This window comes from Homo sapiens, chromosome 3 (assembly GCF_000001405.40).
Source record: "Homo sapiens chromosome 3, GRCh38.p14 Primary Assembly".
Taxonomy (NCBI): Eukaryota; Metazoa; Chordata; class Mammalia; order Primates; family Hominidae; genus Homo; species Homo sapiens.
Window position 1 is genome coordinate 105362462 of NC_000003.12, and position 15783 is coordinate 105378244.

Genomic DNA, 15783 nt, shown 5'->3' on the forward strand with positions numbered 1-15783 from the left:
ACAGGAAGGAAAATGACTAAGTGGATTTCTAGTTCAACTGAAATAGCTATGTATTTCTTTTTGTACCCAGACTGAACATTCTGTGAAATAAGAACATAATGTTTATCATAGACTTTGAAAGTTTTTACTCTCCTGAGCTTCAGTGATATGTCTTTATTAGCTGGCATTATTGAAAAGGTGAGTTGCAGAATTGTATTAATTCATTGACAGATGATACTGTTAACAACTGAAATTAAACAATAAAATTCAATGGACTTGGGAAGAGATATACCCAGAGGTCCTCCATGTGTATTTAATACAATAACTTTGGAAATCATTTACTTAAAAACAACTTGGAGTCTAGAATAAAACAGAATTTTATATTATACAGATGTAATCTCTGTGCCTCTTTAAGATTGTGTTTCTTCCTAGACTTAATATAAATCCCACTTAGGCCCTTATTTCAATCTTTGTCATCAGTATATTAGCCTAAGCCCTAGCTTGATCACCTAGAACCTTTACTAATCAGGTTTCTGTGCTCAGCATGGGCCACTTTGTTTTATTCTAATTGATGGCATATAATTTTAGTACAGCCTTTCTTCTGTAGATTGTTTCCTCACTTTATACTTCATAGTTATCACCTTGTTGACTAGGACTTGACTCATTCTTTTTGCCTTTCCTAAACCTTAGTCTGCCTAGACCAATCATTGAAGACCCAATGGAAACCCCTTTCATCTTCTCATATCATGAACCCTTGTAAGATGGTTTGAAGGCTTATATTCCATTAGGTATTTTTCTCACCACTTATCATCCATTCACAAAAATTTATCAAGTGTCCAATCTATTTTTAAGTATGGCTGAACATGCATTCACCGTAGGTGACGCTTGAAGGAGAGAAGAGTGAATCAGATTTGTTGCATGCTCTGGAACTGCATACAATTTTGTTCAAGGAGTAGGAAGGCAAACAAAACACAATGGTATACAGTGGTAGGAACAAATGTTCTCAGCTTCCAAAACTATCTTTGTTGAAATTTCATCTCCAGTGGAAATTTTGGCGGTGCTAATCAGGGGAGAAAAACTACTTCCATTCTTCAAAGGCACACACAATTGACTCGGCTATGTTGTCACATACTGATGGGATTAATATTTTAGTACAGGGAAGGGGTCCTGGCCTGAGCCTTGGGAATCCTGAGTCCTTATCTCAACAGACCGTAAGTAGGAAACTTGCCTCCGGTACCATGTCACTGCTTTTGAGCATATCATCCTGATTGATGATGAATTCCTTTATACTTAAAATACAAAGCTCTTCTCATGTCCCAGGTAACGTGAAATTTTTTCCCCCTGGATAAATGTTATTCATTTTTCCCTTTCAGCAAGATGTACCCTTATGATTCTCTGATGCATGACTAAACTATACAATAAATATTATTGGAATACTATGTATTCTCAATTGTAACAAAAGTGACTGTGATCTACATGTAGCTGGAAACACTCTTCCTCTCAAGAATTAGGTAAGATGGATCCAATCCCACATTGACTAGATTTTGAAAGATTAATTCGATTACATTACTTTGTGGAGCTTACATTTTTATGTTTATTTCTAACTCTGAGCTCTTGCTTATGCTACATTATTTCAGTTTAGAAGTGGTCTTGTCATCTCATATGCACTGTATCTGGCCTACGCAGATAGGGTGCGCTGCTTTATTAATAAATTTCCTTAATGAAAATGTGTGTGAAAGGATGAGAGAACTTATGTTTAAATCAATCGCCCCACCAAAAAAACCATACATTTATTGCTACGCATTCTTGATAAGCAAAGTGGATAGTGATGAGCAAAGTAGATAGGAATTCAGTTCAAGAATCAGAATGCCTGGGTAGAACCCTGGCTTTACCATTGCTATGAATCATTGTGTGACCTTGGAAAAGTTGCTTCGAGTCTCTGGGTTTCAGTTTCTTCATGAGTAAAATGAGGATGAAAATAGCAACTCCTTCAATAAATTTTTATGAGGGGAATACATCTATTAATTCATATAAATTGCTTAGAATATTCTAACATGTAAGTGTTGCTAATTAATAGATCTAAAGACCTTTGAACATTTCTAAACTCATGCTTTGTATTGTTGCCTTCGTCCCCACTCCCAGGCCAAATTTCTATTTTCATGGTTATTATTTTGTTTAATATAGAGCCGTTTCACCATTTTTTTTTAATGACCAATAGCCTTTGGAGTTACTAGTCCAAGTGGCTTATCAAGGCATTTTCCTAAACTAGGACACATTCCTTTCTAAAAACAATTCTGGAAGCAGTGGACTACACATTCAAATATATATTATACATATGCCCATATATATATGCATGTGTTTGTGTATAAGTATAATATGTACATATTTGTATAGTCAGTTGCTCCCAGAATTCCACGTGTGTGTTTGTGTGTTTGATCTCATTTGATCTTCACAGCAATCCCATGAGGCTAGCACTATTATCACTTTTTACAAGAAAGGAGACTGAAGCTTAAAGAGGTTAAGTGAGTTGACCAAGATCATACAGTTAGTGTCAGAGCCCAAATCAGTCTTCCTTTTGCAAATCTACCTTTAAGCAATTATGCTGTATTAACTCCCATCGTAAAATAGAGGAGATCAGATAGAGCGTTCGCGGACCTAGGTTAAATATATTGTCAGGTCGATTTATTCTAATACACCCCACTTACAACCACAGTGAAAAAGAAAACAATTCCCTAAAGCAATTCTACAGGAGTCCATGGAAATGCTAGCATTTCAGCCAAGCTTAGCTCAAGGAATATAGAGTTAAAAGGCATTTGCCTCCTAGCGATAGCCTTCCTGTTGATTCATAAGATGCAAATGAAATGTTAATGTTTAAACCAAGTGGGAGAAACTACTTATTTTGAGAGGAAAAAAATATGGTATAAAAGCTCTACTCTAGAATATTGTTAATGTAAGGAGAACTGGAAGAACAGGACAAGCAGGCTTTTGAGAAAAATCACAGCTGAAGATAGGGCTTAATAGTTTAGAGCACTAAAAGATAAACAATTTTAAAAATCAGTGTGTGAGTGTGTGTGTGTGTGTGTGTGTCTGTGTGTTGCGAGTCTCCAATCTCGCTGGTAACTCGCAGTTTTCTGATGAAAGTGCAGTATGTAACGATTACTAGTTGGCATCCTCTGCTGGAGACCAGTCTCACAAAAGGGTGACCCTGTGATGCACGAAAGGCTATTTAATGCCCCAGCGAAGTGCTTCAGGGACCAAGATTTTATTATTCTTTGGTGATGAGAGTTGTGATCCTGCATCCCTGATTTAGAGCCACTTAGGGCTCCGACAGCTCCACCCCGGTGTTCTAGAGGAAAATCTTCCTTCATGCTCTCTGCCTGATTTGAAAGCAACACAGCTTCCCGATGTTCCTCCTGGGAGGTGGTTCAATCTTTAGAAATTGCCTAAGAAGCCTGTCCATCTGCTGGAGTGCCTGGCTTTCGGGAACGGACCAAGACGGACTTGGCTTTTAATCTGAAATAATTTGAGGATTTTCTGTCTATAACTTAAAATCACCGCTTAACTCAAAGTAAAAAAGTGACACGCTCTCTAGAGGGCTTTTGTAGACATTGGGAAAATCCGTATGACGAAGTACGGTTTAGAAATTCCGGATTTAATTTCCCCCGGGAAAAGCAAATATCTTCTGTTGGTACCGGGCAGTCGACTCACGTAGTCTTCCTTTAAAACCAAGTCTATGCCAGCCGGGTGTGAGGGGAGTGGTGGGGGTGAGCAGGGGGAGGAGAGAGATTCGAAAAGTACAGGAGGAATCAGTCCAGTACAGGGGTTGCCCCTGCCAACAAGTAGCTATTCCTGTTAACTCCCAAGAAGCAAGTTTCCACCTTTGCCACTTCCTCCTGCCCTTTCCTTTCCTTTTCCCTTCACTCCCGCTCTTGGACCCAAGGTTCGCTCCCCACCGCCACCGCCCTGCCCCACTATTCTCTTTACAGGACAGAAGGCTGCAGCAGCACGGCGGAGAAAAATCTCTGAGGAATGAGTCAGTGGGATGGGCGTATGGGTGGAGGGAGAGGGCAGTCGATTTTTAAACCTCAGCGAGGGTGGGTGGGCAGTTGGAAGCCAGAGGCCTTATCACTGGGGCGCTGCAACATCACAGAAAGTGTTAGTCCCAGGGCTCTCCCTGGCGCGCGCGGCTCCTGTGCTTGCTTCTTATTGGCGGACCTGGCCCTGGGGGCGGAGCCGCGGTGAAGCACCGCTCATCCGGGCTCCAGGACCGGGGCACGCGGTTCTCCCTGATCCCGGAGCTGGGCTCAGGGCTCGGACTCAGTCCTGCAGCGCCTCTAGGCTGCGGATCCGCGCTTCAACCACCTGCTTTGCGCTGCGTCCGGGGAAGTGGGGAGGAGACGGGAGGGAGGGAGGAGGCGGGGAGAGGAGGAAAGAGGCAGCTTACACACGCCTTCCAGTCCCTCTACTCAGAGCAGCCCGGAGACCGCTGCCGCCGCTGCCGCTGCTACCACCGCTGCCACCTGAGGAGACCCGCCGCCCCCCCGTCGCCGCCTCCTGCGAGTCCTTCTTAGCACCTGGCGTTTCATGCACATTGCCACTGCCATTATTATTATCATTCCAATACAAGGAAAATAAAAGAAGATACCAGCGAAAAGAACCGCTTACACCTTTCCGAATTACTCAAGTGTCTCCTGGAAACAGAGGGTCGTTGTCCCCGGAGGAGCAGCCGAAGGGCCCGTGGGCTGGTGTTGACCGGGAGGGAGGAGGAGTTGGGGGCATTGCGTGGTGGAAAGTTGCGTGCGGCAGAGAACCGAAGGTGCAGCGCCACAGCCCAGGGGACGGTGTGTCTGGGAGAAGACGCTGCCCCTGCGTCGGGACCCGCCAGCGCGCGGGCACCGCGGGGCCCGGGACGACGCCCCCTCCTGCGGCGTGGACTCCGTCAGTGGCCCACCAAGAAGGAGGAGGAATATGGAATCCAAGGGGGCCAGTTCCTGCCGTCTGCTCTTCTGCCTCTTGATCTCCGCCACCGTCTTCAGGCCAGGTGAGCAAGGGCCTGGGAGCAGCCCCAGACAGACGTGGGCCTGGAGCAGTTTCCTAGGTCCCCGTCCCAGCCTCGCACCCCCGAGGCAGTGCGCCCAGGCGCGTGGTGGAGGTAAGGGGACCGCTGTCCTGGCACAGAGCTGTCCCCGGGCTCGGTCACCTGTGCCGCACGTTTGGGCTTGGCTGGTTAGCTCAAGTTTGGGCATCAAGCTGGGGAAACTGGGTGAATCTCCAGGAACTTGGTGCTCCGGGGTGGGCAGGATTCGCCTGACGCTCTCCCCTTGTCCCTGCGGCTCCCAGCTAGGCGGCGGACTCTTGCCCTCTGACAGTTCCTCCTGTCTCTGGGTATCCAAGTCCACGTCACTGCGCCCCGAGCAGTTTTTCTTTCGCTTAGTTCTCGGATGAAATAACTGCCGGCACTTTTTCGTGATAAATCCCCTAGTAACTTCCCCTTGGTGAGCCGAGGAAGGGATGGGAGGGGTAGAGAAGGAGAGGACTTTAATCACCTCCCCCCGCCCCCCTTGCGAAACCTGCTAAAGCTTAAAATCGTGGTTTCAACGTTACCCCCTGCGGTCCCCGTCCATTGTCTGGGCGGGTGGTGAGTGAAAGGGTGACCGCAGGCAGATAACACAGCCAGAACAGGAATTAGTAGGTAGGCCTGGGAGACACCTCAGTGAGAGGTTTGTGAATTTCCAGGACCTGCTCATAGAGCCTCAGTTCTCAGTTCTGTACTGAGTCTTGGAAGAGAGAGAGAGAGAGAGAGAGAGAGAGAGAGAGAGAGAGAAAAGGCAAAATTCCCAACAACTAAAATATCTCTCGGGAAATCCCTTTCCACACCCTCGGGGACGTCCCCTGGCCCTGGTATCCTCAGGCCCGCCTGGCGGCTGACACAAGTTGTTCTAACAGGGTATTCCGTGCGCTCACAGTTGCCTGACAGAGCAGCAGGTTCCTTTGCTCCCCTAAACTGAAAATTTAGGGGATTTTTTTTTCTTTGAAGTTTTTTTTTTCTATCCCTGCGTAGACAGTTGCCAGTTAAACTCCTACTTCCTGGTATTTTGGCCTGTTTGTTCTTAGCTTTTTCTTTAGCTTTTATCAAAGAAAAATCTCACTTCCTTTTATCCGTGCACATCCCTTCAGCTGTCGGCAAGCTCAGGTCACAGAAGAGGTTTGAAAGCCTCTGAATCTCTCCCAGGAACTGGCGGGGAGAGGGGTTTGGGGGCCAGAGCCTGAGGAAGAGATTACAAGTGTTTGCGAGCTGCTGCTGCTGCTGCCGTTGCTGTGTGTGTGGGCGGGAGGAGTGCCCTCTCCAGATCTCTTTATTAAAGTTACATTTCTGGGTGAGGTAATGAGCTCACCTGATGTTTCTGAGGCTGAGGGAAAAAAAAGGCGTCTGCGTTCTCTGACAAATCTCGGGCTCTGGGGCGGGGACTGTGAAACCATAGTTCAACCGGATTTAAAGCAGGTGTCCTAGTGTAACAACGCTGGGGAGGTAGGTGGAAAGGCGAGACCCCCTTGGGCCTGGCACAGTGTGGATTTCACTTTTTCGAGATTCCACTGTCCGATGGAGGAAAGGACACTTTGGAGCCAGGGAATGAGCCAAGAAGGGAGGACAAGGGTGATGTCGGTTTGTAACATGCAAACGTCCACACGCCCACAGTTGGTTTTCCGATTAACCCCCTCGAGACTTGGAGAATGTAATCTCACCCTCGTCCACACCCCTGACACAGGCACATAACCAGTTTCCTTTTCGGTGCCGTCACAGGCGGGCCACGTCGCAGGATAGGTTTTTCTACACATTTAACTGCTAAAAGGGGGAAAGTTCCGCTTTCAGACCTCCTTCACGGTGGTTCTTTTGGCGCCACAGGCTCGTGTGTCCAGGGGGCACCGAGCTGCGCGCTTTCGGCGAGCGGCTAGCCCCGGCTCACCGCAACCAGCCACCGTGAATCTGAGGATCCGATATCGGCCCTGGACCCTCAGATCCGTGGTTTCGGTGAATTACCGAGCTGGCATTGCCGAAATTCTCATTGCAGTATCAGTGTGTTTTGAAAGGAAAGGTTACAGCACTAAAGGCGCCGTGTCTACACTGAGGAAGCAAGTCTTGGACAGTAAGTGCGCCTTCTTCGGAGCCCTCTGCATAGCAGAGCCCGGTGGGGGCGCGGTGCCAAAGGCCGGCTTCATTTGAGCGGGGTAACTGCCTTCCCTGCCGGCCACTCTTCATTTCCGGAGCAGTTTTAATAGTGTATGTCCAGTTGTAGAGGTCAAAAACTCGAGTTTGTGAAACTGCTTCCCCGGGTCTTTCGGCTTGTAGTCGCTACAAAGTCATTGATATATTTTAGGCGTGCCACGTTACCTGTTTTGAAAGGAGGAGAAAAATATATGAACCACGAAAACTGAATTCAGAGATGAAGGCAATGAAGTGTGTGTTCAACATCCGAGATAGCAATATTCTCGTTATTCTTGTAGAAAGAGCGTCAGCCTGTGGTGACATTTTGTATTGCTTAAAAAAAGAATGCTTTTCTGGATTATTTACAAGGAGATGGGGCGCTGCAGTTAACTCTTTCTTCACTTGGGTCATCTGTATGAACCCCTCTATGGGATTTTTCATAACTACTCACTGATCTCACTGATATAAGATTCATTCTAAGACATAAGCACACATAAAGCTTTCTTCAGTGGGATATTATGTTTGAAACATATCAATTGATCTCAACAGGACTTGGGAAAGCATCAACTCAAATAATGTCCTTTCAAAGACTATTGATGTAGGACTATTGAAATTGATTAATTTAAAAACTAAAAACTGTTTAACAGCCAATATATATATATTTTTTCCTTAAGGATTTATTTAATCCAATAGCAATTTACAATTTAATGGAGCATTATTTGCAGTAAATTGCTTTTCTAGGCTTTCTTCAGGACATCTACCTTCAGGCACTTGAGCAAGTCATTTAACCTTTTTGAGCTTCAGTTTTCTCATACAAAATAAAAAGACAGACTAGAGGCCTACTCTCTGAAATGTCTCCCAGCTCAAAAACTCTTTGTTTCTGAAGTCTTAAGGTAAAAAACCAATTTAGGCAGGCAGAGTCATTTTTCAACACTATTTTTCTAAGGATCTCAGTCTAGACAAAATTCATATAAATTGTATTATTAGAAAAGTATCAGTAGACCCCAATTTCTAATTTCCTTTTTTTTTCTACCTTTAAAAATTCATGATAACATCTATGCTTACTCTTTCCAGCCTTAGTAGGGAAAAAAAAAAGCGTGAAGGAGAGAAATTAGCCTTCCACTCTCCTGGGAAAAGAGGACCCAAAAGTAAGAAAGGATAGTAGGCCTCAGAAAGCCCTGCTAGTGTAACTCATCTCTCCTGCAAACCTGTTCCTATATAAACTGCATACATAGTACCTAGAATGAGATGTAAATTATGGTTTATGCTTAAATATTCATATGACAAAGCCTCATATTGTACATCCTAAAGTTGCTCAAAAAGTTGATTTGCAACATGGTTGTAAATGCAAGACAGAAGGAAATAGAAAATACTAATATTTTTCTATTGTTTTAAAACTTGTAGAAATCCAAAATATCTTGTCTTACCAGATTCCAAACCTTTTCTGACTTTGTAAAAAATTCAAACTAGCTTATCTTTTTTAATAGACATTCAGATGAAAATGCATGTCTACCATTGACTTATCAAAAAGAAGAAAATTAATTAAATAGTCTTGTGTTATTAGAAAAATTGTATATTGTAGTCAGTATTCATGTGTTCAGTTTCTAACTATGTCATGTAAGAATGTTGTGACCTTGGGAAAATTATTTTTCTGCTCTTTTTTATTTCCCATCTGTGAATTTCTTTCTGTGCAATGTGTGGTTCTGATTGTGTTGAGATTAGTAATTCCCTTGCTCAGCATTTCAAATTTTTTAAGTAAAACGTGCTATATTAATTAAGGCTTTTATTATATTGTTAATAGAATAACATTCTTTAATTTATTCCACTTAATTATCACTTTTATCATTTTATTAAAATAATGGAAAGATGTTTCTTTTTTTTTTTCTCTTTTTTCTTTTTCTCCGTCAAATTTTCATGCCACTAACCGTGGGCCTTTGTAAAACTTAGTACCACCTAAGTTGTCAATATTACTTGGTGTAAGATGGCAGCAGTTTGTCAGATAGTATTTTAAATGCTTTATAATCACCATGTTTTACAATTCCAAACACACTTCTTTCTGTTCTGGCCATTTATTTAGCATAAAACACCATCAAAGAGTTCTAGCTCCCTGAAGGTATTCACTCAAGTAGACACATGCAATTTATAGCCCAGATATGCAGAAGATCCACTTAGGTATAGCTATGATAGAAGAATATGTCTCTGTCTCAATGTATACATAGAAACTTAAATGCAATTTCTCACAATGTGTTAATTTTATTCTTCATTGTTAAGTATTCACAGAGGCTAATCTCATTTCTTACACATTATGTGTGTGACACATGTATGTGACATATGAAGAATGAACTAACTTACTGGAATACTAAAGAATGGTTTCTTGGGTGTGGTGGGTGATAACATTTATTTGGTTATTACTTTTGGATTTCAACTCAGTTTATTTTCAATAAGAAATGGAAAAAAATCCATTTATACTTTTGATTACTTTTTTTATTAGGGTAGAATTTTCCTTTCCTTGTGGAGAGTAAATTCAAGACTAAAATAGATATTCTATATTCAGGAAGAGAATATTGCAGGCTGTTTGGTAAGGTTAAATCTAAATCCTACAATTATTATAGTGTCCCTATAGTACGTAAGTCATTACCATATTTTTGGAGTTACTGATATTTTCATGCAGCTAATTTCTCTGCTTAAATAATAAATTTTACATTCTCTTTTCTCCCTTATTATTGAATAGAATACCTTATATATTTCAGATAGGCCTAGTTCCAAATGTGGTATGGTATTCAGTAATTGTTTTATGCTAACCTATTATCATAGCCCATTACTGTAGTCTATGTTCCAAGAATGAAATTAGCTTTTAATGCTTCCTCTCTTATTTATCCAGTCAGTTCTCAATTATCCATTCCATTGAAGGGGAAATCAGAGTTGCGCACAATCCAAAACATCTTCTAACCAAAGGATTACTTAATTTGACTTTGAGTTGAGGTACTTCAATGAACATGTCTATACTTGTCTGGTCTAAGAATTCATAGTACTTCAACACAATGAAACTAAACTGCTGGGGAATAGGTTAATCAGAAATTAGACAGCTGTCCAGCTTCTCTGATTTGCTTCTCTATTACTGTTATTATTGTTTTAGCTCTTTTCTGTATCACTTAAGGAACTGATGCAAAATCTTGGCCCAAGTAAGACTAAAAACATCTATGAGATGAAACTAAACCTTTGCAATCTTCTCAAATCCTATAAATATTATAGACCCTTGATGTTCATTCACAGGAAAACATACTATGACCATGGCAATTGCTGTAGTCTTCTGGCCTTTGCTCAATGACACTTCCACTATGAATAATTTGTTTAGCTCTGCAAAATCACATTTCAAGTTTTAGAAAAATTTTACCCTCACCTGGCCCTTTTTCTTAAGCAAGTTTTTTATTACATCATATGAGTTTCCATGAATAAATGAATAATAAAGCAATACCCTTTTCATGTTATGAGTTGGGTTAGCAGCCAGGTAGGTTGACTCTCCAGTAGGATTTTCACACACCTGCTTTTAGAAAAAAAAATTACTACTTATAATGGATTATGGGGTTACAGTAAACAGTGAAAACCAGTAATATCAAATCCATAAATGTTAGGAAGATTGGAACTTGTAATTAAAAAAGACTTTATTTTTGATTATTTTAACTTATTATGATGATTTCACTAGAGAAGTTAACTGAATTTGTAGATTAAGATATCAACCAGCACTCCAACACAATGTTTTCTTGAGGGAGATAAATCTCAAAGATACTTTCACCTTAGAAATTGATATAAGTAGATTTTTATCCTCTCCATCTGTATAGTTTTAGAGAGAGTCTAGATTACCTTATTTGAACTGTGAATGAAGAAAAAAAAACTTTCCTGTACTTACTTGCCTTTGGTGCAAAATCAACATTGGAATGTTGATAATGACTAAAGTGAGTCTTAACTTTTCCCTTTTCCTTTTCCCTGTACTTGTCTTTGCTGTAGTTTTTACCACATTGTATTATGATATTGGTGACTTTTTTCAGTTGAACATAAATTTTTTGAATACCAAATATCATCTTTGTCTATGTATCCTCAAGTCTAGTTAAGAGCTTGACACCTAGAAGCTGCTTCACATTTTTTCTTTGCATTAAATACAGTAGAAGCAATGCATATGTGGAGAATTAAACTCCATATGGCAGCACCTGACATTCATGCATTACTAAGAAATTTTCTCAAGGAGTTTGGGAGTTGAGGATATAATATTCCTCACTGAGAATTGAACTGGAAAATAAAACCATCATGAAAGAACAGAGTGGGACAGGCTATCAAGACCTGATGGCACTTTAGTAGTATTAATGAAAAACAAAAAGAAAAGAACATGTATATTCGTAAAGGACCTGTGATTAAGGATGAAAAAGACTTTGGTCATTGGAGAAACACAGAAAAAGTAGAGGAGTTGGGCCAAATGTGGTTATTGAAGCTATTATACTTAATGAATCCAAACACTTTCTTTTATGGTGAAAGTAAGTGGCCCCTCTAACTGGCAGACATGACTTGCCCAGTCTCCTTAGCAGGTATAGCTTTTTGTTGAGATAGATAAAACTCATTATAAGAACCTAATTCTGGGGCCAGGCTCAGTGGCTCATACCTATAATCCTAGCACTTTGGGAGGCCGAGGCGGGCGGATCACCTGAGGCCAAGAGTTCGAGACCAGCCTGGCCAATATTGTGTAACTCTGTCTCTATTTTCTTTTTTTCTTAAAAAAGAACGTAATGCTCTGAATATTCAAGTCATATAGTAAACTTTCCCATGGTGGAATTTCATGGTCACTAAGAAATCTTCTAATTATAATGTGATGCTTGTTTTTTGTTTTTGTTTTTGTTTTTGAGACGGTGTCTCGCTCTTGTTACCCAGGCTGGAGTGCAATGGTGCGATCTCTGCTCACTGCAACCTCTGCCTCCCGAGTTCAAGCGATTCTCCTGCCTCAGCCTTCCAAGTAGCTGGAATTACAGGTGCCCACCAGCTCGCCCAGCTAATTTTGTGTATTTTTAGTAGAGACTGGGTTTCACCATGTTGGCCAGGCTGGTCTGGAACTCCTGGCCTCAGGTGATCTACATGCCGCGGCCTCCCAAAGTGCTGGGATTACAGGCATGAGCCACTGCACCGAGCCCAATGTGACTTCTTATATAGCCAGTTTACAGTCAGAGGATGCACTAGCTGGAAGAGAAGCATTGTATTCCCTTGGCAATAATTGCTCTTATGTATACCAATAAGCTGGTTTATGAGTTTGGTTAGTGAGAATTCATCTTTAAAAGATGGGAAAATGTTTGGTAAGCAGCCAAAAGAAGCTTCTAAGTTTTCAGGGTTGAAACCTACACATTGAACCCTTCCAAATTCAGCTTGTTTGTGGTACAATCAGCTAACCATTCCCCAGGTGACACCTATGGTGTCATTTGTTGTCAACTTGTGTGTTACCTATTATAGACATTTATTTTCTTTCTTGTATATCTTTTGGTGCTATCTTGCTTAATATGCATATTATTAGTAGGTTGACCATTCATTCATCTTGGTATACCTAAGACTGTCCTGGTTTATGCCTCATGAGCTGGTACAATTATTAATGGCATCCTTTTTCATTTTCAGAAGTGCATTTTGCATAACATATCATACAGGCTCCACAATAATTTGTAACTTGTCTTTATGTCTTGGAGTACTTCACTGTGATAAATGCACTCTTCATCCTAACCAAGTGCATATTTTTAACCCATTTAAATTTAATTATCAGCTACAGTGAAATATCATTAATGGGTTATATGCCCCTTTCATGTCAGGTATAAGAAAGAAAGATGTGAGGTTGTAGCCTCTAGAATTCCAGAATGTTGTGGATATGAAACATTGAGGATCCTATGGTTTGGAATGGAAACTAAATTGACCTCAGATGCCAAGGGAATAATTTTGTTTGAAATTCACCTGGGAGCTACACTTAGCTACGGGGTTATTTAGGGAAGAACTATTTCAGTATGAGCATGAATTCCTTTTGCAGCAAATTGTACAACTCCCATTCTGTTCTTCTATGAGATTTCTCAGTAATCACACTACCAATTTTTTTCTTAAAAAAACCAGGGATGTTGAAGGAAGCCCCAGCATTCTTCTGTACATGCAAACTAAGTTGTATCAGTCAGAAAAGGCGACCTGATGTGGCCACCAACAGTATGGCTAGGATACGGTTGTAGTCAAGGGTGTGACAACAGCAAAGACGCTTATCGCGGAAACTTTGACCCTGTATTAACAATTTTCACCTTCTAGATCCTTGGGCAAAACATACGGCCTTTTGAGAGGCTCAAGCAGTGTTGAATAAGAATACTTTCACTTAGAGCGAAAACCTTAACTCTCTCCAGAGTTAAATTATGGAAAGTTCAGTGTGTGTGAGTTTGTGTGTGTTGGGGGCTGGAGAGGAGAGAGAAAGACAGAGACAGAGAGAGAGAGAGAATGAATTCTGAAGGATTAGAGGCATGGAATTTATTGTCACAAGTTAAAATATGGTAAAAGAAGGGTTGTTGGAAAAATGAGAATGTTCTTTTGATGTTCTTTTTGTTTAGCCCCCCATTTGAGAGCTGAAATAAATGAAACCACAGGTTTAAGAGATTACCTAAAATCCAGTAGCAAATTAACCACAATTCCTAGTGACATGTTTTCAGTTTCATTTGCGCCTAAACTCATAGATTAAAGGTTTTGACCTGTAAAGAACCTAAAAATTAATTAACTACTTGACTAAGGTCACATTGTTGGCCAATCCAGAACTAAAACTCATGTCAATTGATCATTCAGCATATATAACAGCTTTCAACAAATATTAATGGAGTGCTCAGTATGTACTACACATTGTGCTTGAGGATATGGAAATAAACTAATTACTATACATTCAAGATCCTATCACTCAAAGATGTTATGTTCTCTCAGGGAAACAGATATCAATTAATTAACTATATAACTATTTGCTAGAAATTTTGGTAAATGTCACAAGAACAATGAACAGCATTTTACAACAAAGGGGCCAGATCTAGTCTGGGATTTAAGAGAAACTCAGAAAACGTCTAGCAGGAAGTGATATCTGAGCTACGTGCTGAGGAATAATCTAGCAAAGGATGTAGGCTGAGGAAATAACATGACTGAGGATGCTAAGGTGGTAAGAAACATGGTTTCTAACTCCTGGAGGTGAAAATGTGCCTATCCCTTTTCATGAAAACTAAAGAAGTTTTGAAGGTTGAGGCAAAAACCAAGGATTCCTTGAAGTTGTTCAAATACTTTCCTGCAATCTCCCTAATTGACTTGCCAGTTGTGGGATCTACAAAAGGATGTCTTTGTCTTATTGAAATATTCACATATTAGTAAATATTTGTATGTATACCTCCCTACTTAAAAAATAAAGTGGAAACATACCATATACATCATTTTGTACCTTTCCTTTTTCATTTAACAGTACATTTTGGAGATTAAAAAATTGTCTCATAGCAGCACCTATAGCTCTACCTCATTTTTAAAAAGTGTGCATTGGATTTTACTGTACTATCATCATTAATGTAACCATTTCACAAGTTCCTGGAAGTTTAGGTTGTTTCCAATCTTTCGTTATTACAAACTAGAGCAGTGAACATCCTAATCATGTTATTGTCCATATAAGCAATTGGTGGCAGTTGTTGGTAAAATGTCTTGGAAGTGAAGTTACTGAGTCAACGATGTGTTTTTCATTTAGAAAGAAATTGTAAAATTACTGCTCAAAGAGTACACATCTTTAAAAAAATCCCAACAAAAGTAAGATAATGCCTTTCTTAAACTCTCTTCATAAATCTGTACTATTACATTCCTCTTTTTAACCAGTATCATAAGTTGGTTTTCATTTATTTAAAGCTTATTGGAAAAGTTAGAATTATAGGAGTAGTAGGCATATACACTCACATACAAGGCAAAACCTATATTGGTGCCTAACTTTATTATACATGAGATTGGGCCAGAAATGGGAAAAGACAGGTATTTACCATGAATTTTTATTATTGTTCTTTCTACATAAGATTGCTAACTTTTAGAACATAAACTGTATAATTATAAGCCATAACCTCTTCCATTTTGTAAAATTAATACTCTGTACAATCAGGATTAAGAGACAGCCACATTTGAGCCATAAGTGAATTTAATACTGCTTTTCAACACAAAGAAATGGTTTCCAAATATTTGTATTAGTTCGTTGTAGGTACAGTATACATTTTATGGGTGGTCTGACTAATGCCACTTTGTAAACCCTGTATAATAGTCATTACTAAACAAACTTCAGTTATTTTTAAGTAAATCATATTTCGAACAATTATTCCAACAAGTTTAAGCCTTAAGTAAATCATCTTTTGAACAATTCTTCCAACAAAGCTTGTCAGAATTTTGTATAAACTGATAAAAAGTACAATATTTTACAAATTTTTTTAAAAATCAGTGCCACTAAATATTTTTCACCTGTAATTTTTTAACCCATTAAGGAAAGTAGGAATAAAATCTATTTTAGTCACTTTTACATAGAAAATAGCAGGATATATATATATAGTTTTGAA

General features: G+C 40.2%; 1 protein-coding gene across 4 annotated transcripts in view, besides 5 other annotated features; it reads left to right on the forward strand.

Annotated features, from left to right (window-relative positions):
- Positions 4393 to 4492: a silencer, noted in NCBI's record as "silent region_14580". NCBI's record gives its function as "represses an Ori minimal core promoter by ATAC-STARR-seq in GM12878 lymphoblastoid cells {active_cell/tissue: GM12878}" and the evidence as "EXISTENCE:reporter gene assay evidence [ECO:0000049][PMID:35858748]".
- The window catches only part of ALCAM (activated leukocyte cell adhesion molecule), a 209992-nt gene continuing 198656 nt past the window's right edge, over positions 4448 to 15783 (forward strand). For all 4 annotated transcript variants that reach the window (NM_001627.4, NM_001243280.2, NM_001243281.2 and 1 more), the window contains exon 1: positions 4448 to 5020. In NM_001627.4, the coding sequence (NP_001618.2) occupies positions 4948 to 5020 (73 nt within the window). In that variant the 5' untranslated portion in view covers positions 4448 to 4947. The remainder of the gene's footprint in view (positions 5021 to 15783) is intronic.
- Positions 4823 to 4942: a silencer, noted in NCBI's record as "silent region_14581". NCBI's record gives its function as "represses an Ori minimal core promoter by ATAC-STARR-seq in GM12878 lymphoblastoid cells {active_cell/tissue: GM12878}" and the evidence as "EXISTENCE:reporter gene assay evidence [ECO:0000049][PMID:35858748]".
- Positions 5973 to 6132: an enhancer, noted in NCBI's record as "active region_20195". NCBI's record gives its function as "activates an Ori minimal core promoter by ATAC-STARR-seq in GM12878 lymphoblastoid cells {active_cell/tissue: GM12878}" and the evidence as "EXISTENCE:reporter gene assay evidence [ECO:0000049][PMID:35858748]".
- Positions 6469 to 6969: an enhancer, noted in NCBI's record as "H3K27ac hESC enhancer chr3:105087774-105088274 (GRCh37/hg19 assembly coordinates)". NCBI's record gives its function as "activates a minimal SCP1, AML or CMV promoter by ChIP-STARR-seq in naive H9 embryonic stem cells {active_cell/tissue: H9 hESC(naive)}" and the evidence as "EXISTENCE:reporter gene assay evidence [ECO:0000049][PMID:30033119]".
- Positions 6970 to 7470: an enhancer, noted in NCBI's record as "H3K27ac hESC enhancer chr3:105088275-105088775 (GRCh37/hg19 assembly coordinates)". NCBI's record gives its function as "activates a minimal SCP1, AML or CMV promoter by ChIP-STARR-seq in naive H9 embryonic stem cells {active_cell/tissue: H9 hESC(naive)}" and the evidence as "EXISTENCE:reporter gene assay evidence [ECO:0000049][PMID:30033119]".